The sequence below is a fragment of the Homo sapiens genome, chromosome 15 (genome assembly GCF_000001405.40).
Source record: "Homo sapiens chromosome 15, GRCh38.p14 Primary Assembly".
Lineage (NCBI taxonomy): Eukaryota > Metazoa > Chordata > Mammalia > Primates > Hominidae > Homo > Homo sapiens.
The window spans coordinates 66,379,944-66,399,140 of record NC_000015.10 but is presented as its reverse complement, the minus strand read 5'-3'; the positions used below and the strand labels follow the sequence as shown (position 1 = coordinate 66,399,140).

At 46.3% G+C, this 19,197-nt stretch overlaps 2 protein-coding genes across 8 annotated transcripts in view, besides 4 other annotated features; one reads left to right on the top strand and one right to left on the bottom strand.

The window, feature by feature from the left end:
• MAP2K1 (mitogen-activated protein kinase kinase 1) overlaps positions 1-12,229 on the bottom strand; it is a 104,633-nt gene extending 92,404 nt beyond the window's left edge. For both annotated transcript variants that reach the window (NM_002755.4, XM_017022411.3), the window contains exon 1: positions 11,714-12,229. In NM_002755.4, the coding sequence (NP_002746.1) occupies positions 11,714-11,793 (80 nt within the window). In that variant the 5' untranslated portion in view covers positions 11,794-12,229. The remainder of the gene's footprint in view (positions 1-11,713) is intronic.
• Positions 9,404-9,580: a silencer, noted in NCBI's record as "fragment chr15:66681899-66682075 (GRCh37/hg19 assembly coordinates)". NCBI's record gives its function as "represses an EF-1alpha promoter that drives an FKBP-Casp9 reporter gene in an ReSE screen in K562 erythroleukemia cells {active_cell/tissue: K562}" and the evidence as "EXISTENCE:reporter gene assay evidence [ECO:0000049][PMID:32094911]".
• Positions 11,805-12,094: a silencer, noted in NCBI's record as "silent region_6564". NCBI's record gives its function as "represses an Ori minimal core promoter by ATAC-STARR-seq in GM12878 lymphoblastoid cells {active_cell/tissue: GM12878}" and the evidence as "EXISTENCE:reporter gene assay evidence [ECO:0000049][PMID:35858748]".
• Positions 12,135-12,324: a silencer, noted in NCBI's record as "silent region_6563". NCBI's record gives its function as "represses an Ori minimal core promoter by ATAC-STARR-seq in GM12878 lymphoblastoid cells {active_cell/tissue: GM12878}" and the evidence as "EXISTENCE:reporter gene assay evidence [ECO:0000049][PMID:35858748]".
• TIPIN (TIMELESS interacting protein) overlaps positions 12,424-19,197 on the top strand; it is a 50,527-nt gene continuing 43,753 nt past the window's right edge. For 4 of the 6 annotated variants that reach the window (NM_001398285.1, NM_001398281.1, XM_017022390.2 and 1 more), the window contains exon 1: positions 12,424-12,491. The gene's annotated coding sequence lies outside the window, so the exon portion shown is untranslated. Of the gene's footprint in view, positions 12,535-19,197 lie in introns of all 6 variants that reach the window. The other 2 variants (NM_001398286.1, NM_001398283.1) reach the window with 1 other exon arrangement.
• Positions 12,465-12,724: an enhancer, noted in NCBI's record as "active region_9612". NCBI's record gives its function as "activates an Ori minimal core promoter by ATAC-STARR-seq in GM12878 lymphoblastoid cells {active_cell/tissue: GM12878}" and the evidence as "EXISTENCE:reporter gene assay evidence [ECO:0000049][PMID:35858748]".

The window sequence follows — 19,197 nt, the reverse complement described above, 5'->3', positions numbered from 1 at the left end:
ATTATGTATGAATATGAATTCTCCTATATAATATCTGTACCATCATTACATTAAAAATTTAGCAATACAGCCAGGCACGGTGGCTCACGCCTGTAATCCCAGCACTTTGGGAGGCCGCGGCAGGCGGATCACTTCAGGTCAGGAGTTTGAGACCAGCCTGGCCAACATGGTGAAACACCGTCTCTTCTAAAAATACAAAAATTAGCTGGGCATGGTAGCACGTGCCTGTAATCCCAGCCACTTCGAGGCTGAGCCACAAGAATCACTTGAACCCGGGAGACGGAGGTTGCAGTGAGCCGAGATCGCACCACTGCACTCTAGCCTGGACGACAAGAGTGAGACTGTCTCAAAAAAAAAAAGAAAAAAAAAAAATTAGCAATACTCTACTCACATTTCCCCAACTGTCTCAACAATGCATTTTATAACTATTTTTTGATCCGGTACACAATTGGGATTCATGCAGTACATTTTTTTTTCTGTTTTGTTTTTGAGACAGGGTCTCACTCTGTCACCCAGGCTGGTGTGCAGTGGTACAATCATAGCTAACTGCAGCTTGGACCTCCCAAGCTCAAATGATCCTCCTGCCCCAGCCTCCCAAAGGGCTGAGATTACAGGTGTGAGCCACCATGCCCAACCCATGCAGTACATTTGATCTGTATGTCTCCTTAGTCTCCTATCCTAGAACAGCACCACTCTCCTTTTTTTCCCTTGATATCACCTTTTCTTTGGAGACAGGGTCCCACTCTCACCCAGGCTAGAGTGCAGTGGCACGATTACCGCTCACTGCAATCTCGCCACCTGGGCTCAAGCAATCCTCCCGCCTCAGCCTCCCAAATAGCAGGGACTACACGCACGCACCACCACATCTGGCTAATTTTTGTATTTTTGTAGAGACAAGGTCTCACCATGTTGCCCAGGCTGGTCTCTAGCTCTTGGGCTCAAGCAATCCTCCTGACTTGGCAGGTCTCCCCAAGTGCCCAAGTGCTGGGATTACAGGTGTGTGCCACCATGCCCACCCTTATACTGACTTTTTTTTTTTTAGATGGAATCTCACTCTGTCACCCAGGCTGGAGTGCAATGGCATGCTCTTGGCTCACTGCAACCTCCGCCTCCTGGATTTAAGCAATTCTCCCACCTCAGCCTCCCAAGTAGCTAGGACCACAGGCACGTGCCACCACACCTGGCTAATTTTTGTATTTTTAGTAGAGATGGGGTTTCACTATGTTGGCCAGGCTGGTCTCGAACTCCTGAGCTCGTGATCTGCACGCCTCGGCCTCCCGAAGTGCTGGGATTACAGGCGTGAGCCACCGCAAATGGCCTATACTGACTTTTTAAGAGACTAGGTCAGTTGTCTTAGAGAATGTTCCACATCCTAGGTTTGTCTGATTGTTTCCTCTTGGTGCCATTAACTCATTCCTCTATCCCCGTATTTGCTATAAACAGGAAGTTAGGTCTAAAGGCTTGATTAGATGTAGGTTTGGGCTAGATTTGAAGGACAAGCAGCGTATGAAATATCTAAATCAACATGATTTATCAACATTTACAATTTGCTATTAAGAACAAAAGGAACCATTCAGCCTTCTAAGAAGGAAGAAATCAAAAGCCGGCATCATTAACACATCCATTTGCATAGCATTCCAGTGATCATAAAGTGCTTTTTTCTTTTCCCACTCTTGCCTCCCCATAAAGTGCTTCCGTGTATGTTATTTTGGATGATGCTCTCCCACCCTACTTCCCTCATGGGTTTCTTATTACCAGCCTTACTCTACTAATGAGGAAAACTAGGCTCAGTGAGGTTAAGTGATATGACCGAGGTCACACCATTAAGAAGTGTTACAGGCCGGGCGCCGTGGCTCACGCCTGTAATCCCAGCACTTTGGGAGGCCGAGGCAGGCGGATCACGAGGTCAGGAGATCGAGACCATCCTGGCTACACGGTGAAACCTTGTCTCTACTAAAAATACAAAAAATTAGCCGGGCGTGGTGGCAGGCGCCTGTAGTCCCAGCTACTCGGGAAGCTGAGGCAGGAGAATGGCGTGAACCCAGGAGGCGGAGCTTGCAGTGAGCCGAGATTGTGCCACTGCACTCCAGCCTGGGCGACAGAGCAAGACTCCATCTCAAAAAAAAAAAAAAAAAAAAAAAAAAAGAAGCGTTACAGGCCAGGCATGGTAGCTCATGCCTGTAATCCCAGCACTTTGGGAGGCCGAGGTGGGCAGATCAACTGAGGTCAGGAGTTCAAGACCAGCCTGGCCAACATGGTGAAACCCTGCCTCTACTAAAAATACAAAAATTAGCTGGGAGTGGTGGTGTGCGCCTATAATCATAGCTACTTGGGAGGCTGAGGCAGGAGAATCGCTTGAACCCAGGAGGCAGAGGTTGCAGTGAGCCGAGATCACGCCATTGCACTCCAGCTTGGGCAACAAGAGCAAAACTCTGTCTCAAAAAAAGAAAAAAGAACTATTATAACTAAGTAGGGAGTGATGTAACTGAGCATGGCATGGAGTTGCTCAGAAAAGACTACACACATTGGAGATAAGCTTTATGTAAGATCTTGAAAGATCGGTACCATCCGGGGCAGATACGGTGTCTCACGCCTGTAATCCCAGCACCTTGTGGGGCTGAGGCAGGCATATCACCTGAGGTCAGGAGTTCGAGACCAGCCTGACCAACATGGTGAAATCCTGTCTCTACTAAAAATAAAAAAATTAGCCGGCCATGGTGGTGTGTGCCTGTTATCATAGCTACTTGGGAGGCCGAGGCAGGAAAATGTGGGAGGCGGAGGTGGCCGTGAGCCAAGATCATGCCACTGCACTCCAGCCTGGATGAGAAGAGTGAAACTCCATCTCAAAAAAACAAAAGGGCCGGGCACGGTGACTCACACCTGTAATCCCAGCACTTTGGGAGGCCGAGGAGGGCGGATCACGACATCGAGGCCATCATTTTTAAATTTTGTACTAAAAATACAAAAATTAGCCAGATGTGGTGGCGCATACCTGTAGCCCAGCTACTTGGGAGGCTGAGGCAGGAGAATCGCTTGAACCCGGGAGGCATAGGTTGCACTGAGGCGAGATCGCGCCACTGCACTCCAGTCTGGGGACAGAGTGAGACTCATCTCCAAAAACAAAACAAAACAAAAAAGATGGGTACCATTTATTTTATTCTAGGCCCCACAGCAGACGGTGGAGAAATACCAGTACACAAGACAATCACAGTCCCTGTTTTCACAGAAGTTAAAGTGTAGTGGCAAGTATAAAACAAAAATAAAAACATGCAAGAGGGCCAGGCGCCTGTAATCCCAGCAGTTTGGGAGGCTGAGGCAGTGGATCACCTGAGGTCAGGGGTTCGAGACCAGGCTGGGCAACATGGTGAGACGCCGTCTCTACTAAAAATAACAAGAATTAGCCCGGCGTGGTGGTGTGCGCCTGTAATCCCAGCTACTCGGGAGGCTGAGGCACGATACTCACTTGAGCCCAGTGGGCAGAGGTTGCAGTGAGCCAAGATCATGTGACTGCACACTCTAGCCTGGGTGACAGAGTGAGACTCCGTCTCAAAAAAAAAAAAAAAAAAATCATGCAAGAAAGTGGAGGAGGGCATTTCAGACAAAAAAAAAAACCATGTCAGCAAGACCAGACAGATGTAAGAAGGTAAGCAACAGTATGCTGGTGGCACAGTGAGGAGAGTAAAGAAAGTGGTAAGTGGACCACAGCAGGTGAACGGAAAAACAGAGGAAAATTAAGCTAGATAGGCAAGGCAGGGCCAACAGCTACAGGAGTACCCACTTAAATGTAGTTTTGCTTTGACAATTCCAGTTACCCACAGTGAGTACAGTAACCACATTCATGTAACTGTCATTACAATATATTGTTATAATTCTTTTTTATTGGTTATTATTGTTAATCTCTTACTATGCCTAATTTATAAATTAAACTTCATCATAGGCATATACTGCATAGGAAAAAACACAGTATATGCAGGGTTTGGTACTATTGATATCTGTGGTTTCAGGCATCCACTAGGGGTCTTGGAACATATGCCACTCAGATAAGGGAGGACTACTGTACTCTACCACAGTATCTTCTTCCTTTCTTTGAAAGGTGCATAAATAAGTGAAACTGGAATTCTGTGAGTGTTTATATTCAAACAAGAGTCCCATATATTTCCTTGCCATGGGCTAAATCATCTTTAAGACTTTCTTTGCTATTACTGTATCTGCTGTAACAGCGGCAGAGATGTTCTTCCCAAAGACACAGGCTTAAGCAGGCCTTTTTCACATGAAGCTGTTCTGAAAGACAGCACCAGTATTAGTTACTGCATCAACTACCCAAAAGAAGCATCCAAGTTCAAAACTACAAAATCAGTGTGAAACCACTTCAAAAGCTCCTACTTATCAGGCCAGACATGGTGGCTCATGCCTGTAAACCCAGCACTTTTGGGAGGCCAAGGAGGGAGGATTGCATGAGGCAAGGAGTTTGAGCCCAGCCTGGGCAATACAGCAAGACCCTATCTCTAAATTTTAAAATTAGCCAGGCATGGTGGTACATGCCGGTAGTACTAGCTACTTAGGAGGCTGAAGCAGGAGGATTCCCTGAACCCAGGAGTTCAAGGTTATAGTGAGCACCAATGCACTCCAGCCTGAGTGTCTGAGCAAGACCCTGTCTCTCAAAAAAAAAAAAAAAAAAAAAGTTCCTGGTTATCATCATGGTACACATCTCAGAAAGAGCCATAAGAGACAAAAAAAAGCACATCAACCTGTCTCAACCTTTCTTCCTCCAGGGCCTTCACACTCTAACAGATGTGTGTTCCTTACAAACCTGGCAGAACTGCTGATGCTATGAACTACACCCTGAATGCAATAAGTAAGTCTGAGTGTTTCAGGGTTACATAGAAACAATTCAAAATCCAAAATCATGAACGCTACTAAGGCCAAGCAGTGAACCCTCCTAAGGTTATTCGGCACCTTATAGCCTTCAAAGAAATTTTATACATCTTCAAAGGTATTCCTCTGAGGTAGGATCTAGTCAATCATTTAATCAACAGGTATCTACTGAGTATTTTCTATGTGCCAGAATCTGTTCTACACACTGAGCAATGAACAAGGCAAAGCCCCAACCATCATGAAGCTTACACTTGGGGTGGCAGAAGAAGATAAATACTTATACACGATGTAACATCAGTTAGTGATCAGCGCTACAAAGAAAAATAAGGCAAAATCAAAGGGTAGAAAATGACAGGGAGTTCTGTATTACAGTGATCAAAGATGGCCTCTGTGAAGAGACATTTCAACAGAGGGGTGAAGGAAGTGAGGAAGCAAGTCATACGGTATTTGAGAGACAAGCTTTCCAGGCAGCAGGAATGGCAAATGCAAAGATTCTAAGATAAGAATGTGCCCAACCTACAACCCAACAGCACAAAGGACAGTGTGGCTAGAGTGCATGAGTGAAGAGAACACTGGAAGAAAACTAAGGACCTGGTCAGGTAGGGCCTTGTAGGCCACCATGGTAAAGATTTTGTAAACAATTATCACCTCCACTTTACAGATTAAGGAAACCAAGAGTCAGAAAGTAGAAAGGACTTGCCCAAGGTCAAAGAAAAAGTGAGATCTTGAGAGGTACCCTGCCTCACTACTGCAACTGGATTAACGGTATTGTTTTAAAGAAAGAGATTAATAGCCGGTGCGGTGGTTCACACCTGTAATCCCAGCACTTTGGGAGGCCAAGGAGGGCAGATCACAAGGTCAGGACTTGGAGACCAGCCTGAGCAATATAATGAAACCCTGTCTCTACTAAAAATATAAAAATTAGCTGGGCATGGTGTCAGGCACCTGTAATCCCAGCTACTCAGGAGGCTAAGGCAGGAGAATTGCTTGAACCTTGTGGGGAGGGGTTGCAGTGAGCCAGGATTGCAACACTGCACTCCAGCCTGGGCAACAGAGTGAGACTCGGTCTCAAAAAAAAAAAAAGAGAGAGAGAAAGAGATAACATGCCTTATCCTGGAAGGAGAGACAATGTACCCTAAGACCCAGCAATTCCACTTCTGAGTACATTCCACAGGAAACTCTCTCACAACATCCAAAGGAGACAAGGATGTGCAAGGATGGGCATGGTCATGACTGTTTGAGGCAGCAAGGGGTTGGGAAACAACAAAGATGTCTAATTCTAGAGAAATAAATAAGTAAAATGTGGCAGGCAAACATGACTGCTCTACAACCAAGAGAAATAATGAACTAGACACATATTGTATAGCATCATGAATAGAGCTCAAAACAAAATTGGTTAAAAAAAGAAACTAAGGCCAGGCATGGTGGCTCACGCCTGTAAGCCCAACACTTTGGGAGGCTGAGGCAGGCGGATCATCTGAGGTCAGGAGTTCGAGACCAGCCTGACCAACATGGTGAAACCCTGTCTCTACTAAAAATACAAAATTAGCCAGGCACGGTGGCACATGCCTGTAATCCCAGCTACTCAGGAGGCTGAGGCAGGAGAATAGCTTGAACCTGGGGGGCGGAGGTTGCGGTGAGCCGAGATCATGCCATTGCACTCCAGCCTGGGCAACAAGAGCAAAACTCCATCTCAAAAAAAAAAAAAAAAGAAAAGAAAAGAAAACAAAGAAGAAACTGATATAAAATTTAGGGATGGTCATTGCTTCTGTTCAAATACTCCTGGTGCACCAGCACAGTGGCTCATACCTATAATTTCAGCACTTTGGGAAGATGAGGTGGGCAGATCGCTTGAGCCCAAGAGTTCAAGACCAGCCTGAGCAACATGGTGAAACCCCATCTCTACAAAACAATCAAAACTTAGCAGGGCGTGGTGGCACGCACCATTATACTCCAGCCTGGGCAGTGGGAGCGAAACCCTTTCTTAAAAAAAAAAAAAAAAAAAAAAAACCCAAAAAAAACACACAAATATTCGTGGTTCTCCCCCTTCCAAAAAGGTCACTGCCCTCCTTGAAGGTCAACATGGCCACATGATTTGCTCTGGCCAAAGAAATGGCAGCAAAAATGACAAGGCTCACCTCTAGGCAAAACTTTAAGAGCCTGAATGTAGCTCTTCACAAGATTCCCTCCTCATGTAGGTATACTTGAGAGACGATGCCTCGATCAGCCTGGATCCCTAAAGGACTCCAATCTACAGAGCCTCCCACTGACCTGAAAGTGTGTTAAATTACTGAGATTTTGTGGTTGTTACCTCAACATAACCTATTCTATCCTGTCTATGAAATGCAGATTTGTAGCACAATAACATTTTAGAATCCTAAGCAGATACATACAAAACCATCCTTCTACTTCCCAAGGGTATACACATAACCAGACTAACAGGTGGAATTATAAAACCATATAAATATCTTAGAATGGTTGAGTGGGTGACTAAAACAAAAGAAAATGGGGAAAAAAGGAATGAGCATAAAGGGGAAAAGAAAAGGAAAAGACATAAAAAGGTTTATTAAACCCGTTGTGCAAATATTAGAAATTTCATTCACTCACTGACTCAACAAACATCTATGGACCTATTATGTGCCAGAACTATTTTGGGTGTACTTACAGAGTGGTGAGTCAAAAAAAGGCAGTGCAGGCTGGGCACAGTGGCTCACGCCTGTAATCCCAGCACTTTGGGATCACGAGATCAGGAGATCGAGACCATCCTGGCTAACATGGTGAAACCCCATCTCTACTAAAAATACAAAAAATTAGCTGGACGCAGTGGTGGGCGCCTGTAGTCCCAGCTACTTGGGAGGCTGAGGCAGGAGAATGGCATGAACCTGGGAGGCGGAGCTTGCAGTGAGCCGAGGTAGTGCCACTGCATTCCAGCCTGGGCGATAGAGCGAGACTCCGTCTCAAAAAACAAAAAGGCAGTGCTGTGCTTAAAGTTTATAGTGTACAGGAGAGATAAATATTAAGAACACCCCAATGAAAAATTACAATGATTAAGTCTTATTAAAAGCTCAGGTGAGCGCCAGGCACAGTAGTACCCACCTATAGTCCCAGCTACTCAAGAGGCTGAGGTGGTAGAATCACTGGAGTCCAGGAGTTCAAGAACCAGCCTGGGCAACATACCAAGACCCCCATACCAAAAAAAAAAAAAAAAGCAGCAGCTCAGGTGACATGACAAAGAGGGACCACATTCCTCTGAGATGCTTATAAACATCTCAGAGGAAGTGACATTTAGGCAAATAGGTGAAGACTGCTTCCTGCCTACCTAGGGAAGGAGGAGTGATTCATTCCAGGCAAAGGGAACAGCATGTACAGAGGCCTGCAGTGCGTATAGACCATCCCATAGAGGAAGTGAAAGAGGACTAGTGTGGTGGAAGAAAGGAGTGGCAGGAAATGTGGTTAAAGAGATTGGTGGGAGGGGGTGGTGGGGACAACAGGCAGATCACTCAGTCTCATAGTCCAATATAAGGAGTTTGGATTTTGTGTAACTGCAATAGAACCAGAAGAACATTTTAAACAGAGGAACAATATTATCTCATTATCTCATTCTAACACTTAAGACCCTAGTAATATGCTCACATGTTTCTGCAAAATACACAAAAGAAAGCTATTTTTGCATGATTTTTCTTTGAGGACCCCTACAACTTGCATCAACTTCAGGTCCCGTATTACCCAACTCCATCTCTGAACTGGGTAAGGGCTATGTTAGAGGTAAGCACAGGTGCCAAGGGAAAAGCAACCTTGCCAATTTGGTACCAAGAGTTCTTTACTGTCAAAATGGATTTTCTTCCTCTTTAGTTCACATTGTCTGATAACGTTCAAAATTGTGCCCTGGTCTAATCACAGAAATCATGAAAGCAACAGAATTCTTTCTGCTGGTAGCCCAAGATAGGGAACATTTTGCTTGAGGAACACTCTCAGAAGTGAAAGATGAAGATGTGTACAGCTTTCCCTCTCATTAGTGCTATGAAACACAGGGAAACAGTCCCTGTTTGTCTTGGGCAGCCTACACAAAGATGCCTCCTATTGTAACACAGCAATGAGTCATAGAGGTAGATGCAGATGGTACAAAAAACCAAACTAGGGAGAGTTGATTGTCCAGAAGCAAAGGCACCTTAACACATAATCTACCACCATGAATGAAAATCACCTTCCAGTTTCCTTTGGTCCAACACTTAGGCAGTAACAAAGGCACCAGCAGCCAACAGCTTTGGAAGTTTACTATGTACTACCTCATTTAATCTTCACAACTATGCTAAGTAGGTTCTATCATTAGCCCCATTTTTGCAGATGAAAAAAACTAAACCTAAGCCTTAGACTAAAAGACTTGAACCAGGTCACAAAACCACAACAGAGGCCGGGCTGTAATCCCAGCACTTTAGGAGGCTGAGGTGGGAGGATCACGAGGTCAGGAGTTTGAGACCAGCCTGACCAACAGGGTAAAACCCTGTCTCTATTAAAATACAAAAATTAGCCAGGCACGGTTGCACGTGCCTGTAGTCTCAGCTAGTTAGGAGGCTGAGGCAGGAGAATCGCTTGAAGCCGGGAGGTGGAGGTTGTGGTGAGCCGAGATCGCACCACTGCACTCTGGCCTGGGCAACAGAGCGAGACTGTCAAAAAAAAAAAAAAAAAAAAAAAACCACAACAGAGCTAGGCTTCAAACTTAGCCTGACTCCAGAGCCCTTACCTTTTAACCACTGTTTAGACTCTCCCAGTACCATCCAAATTTTTCTGCCACCAAATCTGGGGTAGTTTCTTCTCATCCTGCTTTTACTGTTTTAATGAAATTCCTCCTCCTTGAGAGAATACAGTTGTGGTATCACGATTACAACAGAATGATAACAGGTACTTCTACTCAGTATCCACTTCCAAATCAAATAGGAAAGGATAATGAGGCCATAACACTCAGCCAGAATCCACTGTGGTCAAAACTTGTCCTAACAACAGTCATGACTTTCAGTCTATTTTAAGAGGGTGAAACACTGTATACTAAAACTGAACAAATGGGCTGGGCACGGTGGCTCATGCCTGTAATCCCAGCATTTTCGGAGGCCGAGGCAGGTGGATCACCTGAGGACGGGAGTTTGCCACCAGCCTGAACAACTTGGAGAAACCCCATCTCTACTAAAAATACAAAATTAGCCGGGCATGGTGGCGCATGCCTGTAATCCCAGCTACTCGGGAGGCTGAGGCAGGAGAGTCGCTTGAACCCGGGAGGCAGAGGCTGCAGTTAGCCAAGATCGCACCATTGCACTCCAGCCTGGGCAACAAGAGTGAAACTCCGACTCAAAAAAAAAAAAAAAAAAAGAACAAATGTTTGCAATGCAATAATGCAATCCAACTACCTATACAAGTCAGTATTATGCAAAATAGACCCCACAGGATTGAGAGGGGACTAAAGAAGAGAGTCTGTTGGGAGCAGGTCTGAAAAACACAGCTGAACACACACCACAGGTCCACCATCGACCTTGTGATCATTACAGGGATGGAACAAGTCATCAAGCCAACAGGTCCCCGGGTTATTAAAATCTAGAGAAAGTTGGCTGGGCATAGTGGCTCATGCCTGTAATCCCAGCACTTTGGGAGGATCGCTAGAGTCCAGGAGTTCAAGACCAGCCTAAGCAATATAGCAAGACCCCATCTGTATAAAAGTTTAAAAAATAAAATTTTCTAAAAATCTAGAGAAAGGAAGGGAGGTTACAGAAATCACCAAAGAGCATAAGGTCCAAGCCTATTCTGATTTCATCAATTAGCTTCCTAAAGTCTGCAGTGTGCAGGTAAAAGATTAAGAACCCAATCCTTATTGAAGGTTGGGCAAACAACAACCAAAAAAAGGCAAAAAAATAATAATAACCTAATCTTTTCTGGCTATTTCTCTAGCTAGCTAAGCAGCTTTCCCTCACATAGTCTTGTCCCTTACCTAGAACCCAAGAGAGTTGTGGGAGCTCAGAAACCCCCAGGAAACAGACTCATGATTATTTAATGAAATAAAGTGCTCGTTTGTAAGCAACGCTGGAAGCTGCAGAGATGGAGCACCTAGCATGTGGTTTCTAGGTCATGGTGTTCATGCCTCAGGTCAGGAGTTTAGGGGCTCCTGGTGAAGTACGGAAAGCTAGGAAATCATTAGTGAGAAAATGGTTTGTTCAATGAATGAATGAAGAGTAGGATGAAGAAGAAAGCCGCTTTCTTGAGCAATTTCCCAGGAAGGCCAAGTACCAGGAACCTCCAAAGTCAGCAAGGAAAAGCCACGAAGTCCACACGGACTTCCAGCACGCCCCCGCTGGCCAGGCAGTTGGCCTGCAACAAGGCACTCAGGCCCCACAGGTGTCAGGCATGAAGGTGAGGATGATGCTCCACACTTAATACCCTGAGCTGGTCTCAAAAGCACAGATGCGATCTTAATTCTTTCCAAAACATTAGCCTCCTCTCCCCGTTACAGGCCAGACTCCCAGATGATCACATTTAGAACAGAACTGGGAGGAGGCAGGGGAGACGTGCTAGCTTTTATTTTCTTGGGAGAAGACTGTACAGTGGCCAGGAACCACTAAAACGGTCGGGAAAAGGGGTACAGAGAGGAATGGAGACCCGCGGGATCCGCTAACTGGTCTGAGTCAGGAACACAATCAGTGCTTAGTCACCGATACCTCGGCGGCCGGGAGTTTCTCGCCCCCTGCCAGCCCCAGACGTACGTGACAAACCAGATCGGAGCCTGGCGCGCGCTCCTGCTCCCCGGCTCGGGCCTCCCCAGCCGGGCCCCGAGGTTCACCGCCCGCCCCATACTTACTCCGCAGAGCTGGTCCCGTTAACTGCAGAGCCGTCGGGGGCCGGGTTCAGCTGGATGGGCGTCGGCTTCTTCTTGGGCATTTTGGACCCGGGTAACGCGCTTCCAACTCCGGGGGGAGGGCAGCACCTCTCGCTTCCTCCCGCTGCGCTGCCCCGCGCCCGCTGCGCAGGACCAAGTCCGGGCCGCGGGCCCCGGGGCTGCCTTCAGCGGGTGCGCCCCGCGCGGTCCCGTCAGCGCCGAGGGGCCGGTAGCGGTCTCAGTGGACCCCCGCCCCACCCGCCCGGGACTCGGCTTCGCGCGCAGAGAGCCGAAAGGCTGCCCTGCAGGAGCGGAGCGGGCTGAACGTGCGGTTCGGCAGCCCGGGATTCCCTTCCTCTCTCTCTCTCAACCAACCAGTCCCTCCGGCTCGGGCGGCACAGCCGCGCGCGCACCAGAGCCCAGCTCCAGCTCCTGCCGGGGAAAGTGCCGCCGCCGCCGTGCTCCTAGCCGCTCTGCGAAGCGGCCCTGGGAGGGACTGGAGGCCGGGGGAGGGGCGGGGAAGGGGAAGCCTCGCCTCCCACCCGGGATGCGGCGCTTTCCACACTCCCACTCGGCTCCGCCCCTATTGCCTCGCAGACAACCAATGGGGGCAAGCCTCGGCGGCAGATGACGCGGAAATACGTCACGGGAGCGCGGCGCACTGCCTGGGGGCGGGGTCCGTCGCGGACGCCGTGGCGCCCTCTGTCGCCCCGAGGCAAGCAGGTGGACCCAGCTGAGAAGAAGTCTGTGTCGCTGTGTGGTGAGCTCTCCAGGCCAGGTGCCGCGCGGCCTCCACCTCTGCGGTAACCGGCCTGCCCCCGACCCCTGTCCCCAAGCCGAGCCGTGTTGACGAAAATGAAATAACAAAATAAATAAGGAAAAGGACCCCTTCCTGTGTCCAGAGGAGAGGCAGCGTGGGGAATAGGAAACTTGTCGAGAGGCTCCTTTGAGCCCAACAAACTGACGCATATAAATTTTGTTTGTTTAATGGTAATACTACTGAGAAGGGTGCAAGGAAATGGATACTCAGTGCTGATGAGATTGTAAATTGTTGCGACAGTTTTTGAGAGCAGATTGATGATTTTTTTTTTTTTAGACTTGGGAACTTTTTTTTTTTTAAGACGGTGTCTCCCTCAGTTGCCCAGCCTGGAGTGTAGTGGCGCGATCTCCGCTAACTACCACCTCTGCCTCCCACGTTCAAGCGATTCTCCTGCCTCAGTCTCCTGAGTAGCTGGGATTACAGGCACTCGCCGTCATGCCCGGATCCTTTTTGTATTTTTGTAGAAACGGGTTTTCACCATGTTGGCAATATTTTTTTAAAGCCTTAAAAACACTCTTTCGGGCCAGGAGCGGTGGCTCACGCCTGTAATCCCAATTTTGGGAGGCCCAGGCAAGAGGATCACTTGAGCCCAGGAGTTCGAGACTAGCCTGGGCAACATAGTGAGTCCCCCGTCTCTATTAGCTGGGCATGGTTGTGTGCAGCTGTCGTCCAAGCTACTGAGGAGGCTGAGGCTGGAGGATCACTTGAGCCCAGGAGTTTGAGGCTGCAGTGAGCTATGATCACACCACTGCACACCAGCCAGGGCTACAGAGCAAGACTCCCTTTAAAAAAACTTTCATCCAGGCCAGGCGCGGTGGCTCACGCCTGTAATTCCAGAACTTTGGGAGGCCGAGACGGGTGGATCACGAGGTCAGGAGTTCAAGACCAGCCTGGCCAAGATGGTGAAACCCATCTCTACTAAAAATACAAAAAATTAGCTGGGCGTGGTGGCGGGTGCCTGTAATCCCAACTACTTGGGGGGCTGAGGCAGAGAATTGCTTGAACTCGGGAGGCGGAGGTTGCAGTGATCCAAGATCACACCACTGCACTCCAGCCTGGGCGACAGAGTGAGACCCCGTCTCAAAAAAAAAAAGAACTTTAATCCAAAAATTCCAATTCTGTGAATTACTAAAGAAATAAGATGTGAATAAAGAGCTTAATAAGAGGCACAATACCCATTTAAAAGTGCACATTCAGTGTTCCTCTTCCCCTTTCCCATCCTAAAATACTAAGTGTCAAAGACATTAGGTGTACAGAACAAAGGAAACGTGTACAGAACAAAGGAAACATCTACACCTGGTTATCCACAGCCAGGTGTTGGTGACCTAGCAGGTAAGGAGGCTGAGGAACCTGAGAAAATGAAGAGGGCTTGAACACCTGGGAGGCAGTCCTACACAAAGTCTTAGCCGTAGGGCCCAAGAGGGGAGAACAAGGCATCCAAGTGGGGAAGGCCTAGAAGCTTAGATGGGAGGTTAGTTGCATTCAGGATGGTTGATTAAGTCACTAAATATATTAAGCATGACAGAGCCAGCTTTCTCACTGTGGTAGAATGACGTTAGAAGTATGGGAAGGGAGAATACCTTACGCTATTGTATTGGAATTGGAGGTATCAGTGTGAACTCATTGTTTTGTTTTGTTTTTTGGGGGGGTGTTTTTGTTTTGTTTTGTTTTTGTTTTTGAGTGGCGTTTTGCTCTTTTTGCCCAGGCTTGAGTGCAATGGCGCAACCTTGGCTCATTGCAACCTCCACCTCCCAAGCTCAAGTGATTCTCCTGCCTCAGCCTCCCAAGTAGCTGGGATTACAGGCATGCACCACCATGCCTGGCTAATTTTGTATTTTTAGTAGAGACAGGATTTCACCATGTTGGCCAGGCTGGTCTCAAACTCCTGACCTCAGGTGATCCGCCCACCTCGGCCTCCCAAAGTGCTGGGTTTACAGGCGTGAGCCACTGCGCCCGGCCTGAACTCATAGTTTTTTAAAAAATAAATTATTCTGGGTGGATGCAGTGGCGGCTACCACCTGTAATCCCAGCACTTTGTGAGGCCAAAGCTGGAAGATCACTTGAGGTCAGGACTTCAAGATCAGCCTGGCCAACATGGTGAAACCCCGTCTCTACTAAATTACAAAAATTAGCCAGGCATGGTGGTGGGCACCTGTAATCCCAGCTACTCAGGAGGCTGAGGCAGGATAATTGCCTGAACCAGGGAGGCAGAGTTTGCAGTGAGCCGAGATTGCACCACTGCACTCCAGCCTGGGCAACAGAGCAAGACTCTGTCTCAAAAATAAATAAAATAGGCCGGGCGCGGTGGCTCATGCCTGTAATCCCAGCACTTTGGGAGGCTGAGGTGGGCAGATCACGAGGTCAGGAAATCGAGACCATCCTGGCTAACACGGTGAAACCCCATCTCTACTAAAAAATACAAAAAATTAGCCGGGCGTGGTGGTGGGTGCCTGTAGTCCCAGCTACTCAGGAGGCTGAGGCAGGAGAATGGTGTGAACCCGGGAGGTGGAGCTTGCAGTGAGCCGAGATCGCGCCACTGCACTCCAGCCTGGGCGACAGAACAAGACTCCGTCTCAAAAATAAATAAATAAATTAAATAAATAAAAATAAATTTTATTGTGTATATTTGAGGTTTGTAACATGATGTTATGGGATATATATAGATAGTAAAATGGTTACTATAGTGAAGTGAATTAACATATCTATACCGTCACATAAAGGCTTGTGTAAAGTATGACGAGCAGCTAAAATCTACTTATTTAACAAAAAACGCAAATAAAATACAATGTTATTAACTATGGTCTTCATGTTGTACATTAGATCTCTAGACTTCTTCATCCTACATATCTGCTGCTTTATATTCTTTGACCTACATCTCCCCATTTCTTTCCCCCATACTTTTTAATATAGAGGCATAGATGTAAATGTATGCATGTGTGTGTAGAAGTGTGTCCTTATTCATGTTAAACATGCATAATTTTTAGTATCAGAGTAAAATAATAAACATTAAAAAGTGAATTGAAGGCCAGGTGTGGTGGTGGCTCACACCTTTAATCCCAGCACTTTGGGAGGCTGAGGTGGGAGGATCACCTGAGGTCAGGAGTTCAAGACCAAGCCTGGCCAACATGGTGAAACCCTGTCTTTACTAAAAATACAAAAATTATCTGAATGTGGTGGCGGGTGCCTGTAGTCCCAGCTACTTGGGAGGCTGAAGCTGGAGAATCACTTGAACCCAGGAGGTGGAGGTTACAGTGAGCCAAGATCACTCCACTGTACTCCAGCCTGTGCAACACAGTGAGACTATCTCAAAAAAAAAAAAAAAATTGAAACTTTTCAAAGTAATCTATTATCAAGGCAGTCTATCTGAATTCTGGTATAATTTTATATTTACTAGTTCAAATAAAAACTATTAGGACTTTGAGCAATTAATTGAAATTTTCAAGGCCTCACTTCCACTCTGTGTAAAATGCAGCATTCTTTTTAATATTGAAATATTATGATTCTATGCATGCTGGGTTGGCCTCCACTGAGTAAACCCTAAGCCCTTATCATGATCCAAGAAGCCCAGATAAACAATTACCCCAATGGTTAAAGTTTGCAGAATAGTTCAAGGTAGGAGAATTTGTTTTCCTCATTTCCTTTTCAGACCGGCAGTGATCCATCGGTTCTGTCAACTTTTCCTGAGGGCCTAACATAAGTGCTGACCATACAGACAAGAATAAGACTGAACTATATGTGTATGAATCAGTGATGTATAATAATAAACACTGTAACATATATATTTGGTTGAACCATATCAGGTTGCTCTATTTGTAGGTCAAAAATGTTTGAATATTGGCAAATACTGGTTCATCCCATTTGTACACAGTGTAGCTAGATCACAAATGTGAAGATCCAAGAAATACAGGCCAGGTGTGGTGGCTCACTCCTGTCACTCCCGTAATCCCAGCACTTTGGAAGGCTGAGGCAGGTGGATGACTTGAGCCCAGGAGTTCAACACTAGCCTGGGCAATATGACGAAACCCCATCTCTACAAAAAATACAAATATTAGACAGGCATAGTGGCACATGCCTGCAGTCCCAGCTACTCTGGAGGCTGAGGTGGGATGATCGCTTGAGCCGAAGTCAAGGCTGCAGTGAGCCATGATCTTGCACACCAGCCTGGAAAACAGAAGAAATACAAGGACAACCAGTGATGAAAACATATCAAGAATTGAGGAGTACATTTAACTCAGACCTCTATATCTTAGGTTCAAAATCAAACAAAACAAAAAAGCATCAACTTGAGAGAGAAAGACCTGAGATTAATTCCAGTTCTGCCCTTGGCTGATTACTTACCCTCTCTGAGCATCAGTTAATTTACCTATAAAATGAGAATTATACTGTCTACTACTGCACTAAATAGTTATGAGCATTAAATGAAACTTTGAAAGAATAGTGCCTAACATACAGGAGCTAAATAAATGGTGATGGTGATAGGTTTTCATCATGTAAACATAATCTGCTAGAAGAATAATTTTTTTTTTTGAGACAGAGTTTCACTCATCGCCCAGGTGGAGTGCAGTGGTGCAATCTCGGCTCACTGCCACCTCTGCCTTCCAGGTTCAAGCGGTTCTCCTGCCTCAGCCTCCCAAGTAGCTGGGATTACAGGCACCCGCCACCATGCTCAGCTAATTTTTTGTATTTTTAGTAGAGACAGGGTTTCGCCATGTTGGGCAGGCTGGTCTTGAACTCCTGACCTGAGGTGATCCACCCACCTCGGCCTCCCAAAGTGGTGGGATTACAGGTGTGAGCCACCGTGCCCGGCCAAAGGAGAATAATTTATAGAGGCTTTCCTGGAGACAATTTCTTCTTCAGAAATATTCACACACTTTGATTCAGTAATTCTACTTCCATGATTCTCTTGTAAAGAAATTATGAAAGCTATACAGAAGAATGATCAACATAGTATTATTTAAATAGCTAAAATCTGAAATTACCTAAATATTCAACAGAAGAGAAATGATTACATCATTTATGACACACCCATATGATGAAATACTGGACAAGAAAAGACTTTCATTTCTAGAAATTTCAAACAGTAGGAATTAATATTTTTTAACAGTACTTCTAGAAAAACCTAGGATCTCTATTCTTTTTTTTTAATTTTTTCCAGATGGAGACTTGCTCTGTCACCTGGGCTGGAGTGCCGTGGCGCAATTGGGGCTCACTGCAACCTACGCCTCCCAGGTTCAAGCAATTTGCCTGCCTCAGCCTCCTGAGTAGCTGATATTACAGGCGCCCGCCACCACGCTCGGCTAATTTTTTTGTATTTTTAGTAGAGACAGGGTTTCGCCATGTTGGGCAGGCTGGTCTTGAACTCCTGACCTCAGGTGATCCACCCACCTCAGCCTCCCAAAGTGCCGGGATTACAGGTGTGAGCCACCGTGCCCGGCCGAAGGAGAATAATTTATAGAGGCTTTCCTGGAGACAATTTCTTCTTCAGAAATATTCACACACTTTGATTCAGTAATTCCACTTCCATGACTCTCTTGTAAAGAAATTATGAAAGCTATACAGAAGAATGATCAACATAGTATTATTTAAATAGGTAAAATCTGAAATTACCTAAATATTCAACAGAAGAGAAATGATTACATCATTTATGACACACCCGTATGATTAAATACTGGACAAGAAAAGACTTTCATTTCTAGAAATTTCAAACAGTAGGGATTAATATTTTTTAACAGTACTTCTAGAAAAACCTAGGATCTCTATTTTTTTAATTTTTTCCAGATGGAGTCTTGCTCTGTCGCCTGGGCTGGAGTGCAGTGGTGCAATTGGGGCTCACTGCAACCTACGCCTCCCAGGTTCAAGCAATTTGCCTGCCTCAGCCTCCTGAGTAGCTGGCATTACAGGCACCCGCCACCACGCCCAGCTAATGTTTGTATTTTTAGTACAGATGGGGTTTCACCATGTTGGTCAGGCTGGTCTCTAACTCCTGACCTCAGGTGATTCACCCACCTCGGCCTCCCAAAGTGCTGGGATTACAGGCATGAGCCACCGCGCCTGGCCCAGATCTCTATTGTTTTGTCATAAACAGAAAAAACGTAACGTCTATATCAACACCCAAAGGCAAATGAAAGTAGAGTGAGATAGCACTGGACACAACTATTTTTGGTAAAAACCAATAGAACATAATAGGTATCTGGGAAATGGCCAGGACTTTCAATGTCATGGAGTATTTAGTTAAGGAAACAGGGACAACTACCTGGCCATTTGAAAAAGAAATGAAGGTGTAGGGGCCGGGCGCAGTGGCTCACGCCTGTAATCCCAGCACTTTGGGAGGCCGAGGTGGGGTGGATCACGAGGTCAGGAGATCGAAACCATCCTGGCTAACACGGTGAAACACCACCGTCTCTACTAAAAATACAAAAAATTAGCCGGGCGCAGTGGTGGGCGCCTGTAGTCCCAGCTACTCAGGAGGCTGAGGTAGGAGAATGGCGTGAGCCTGAGAGGCGGAGGTTGCAGTGAGCCCAGATAGCGCCACTGCACTCCAGCCTGGGTGACAGAGCGAGACTCCGTCTCAAAAAAAAAAAAAAAAAGAAAGAAAGAAAGAAAAGAAATGAAGGTGTATCCCTACTTTTTATCCTATAATAAATTC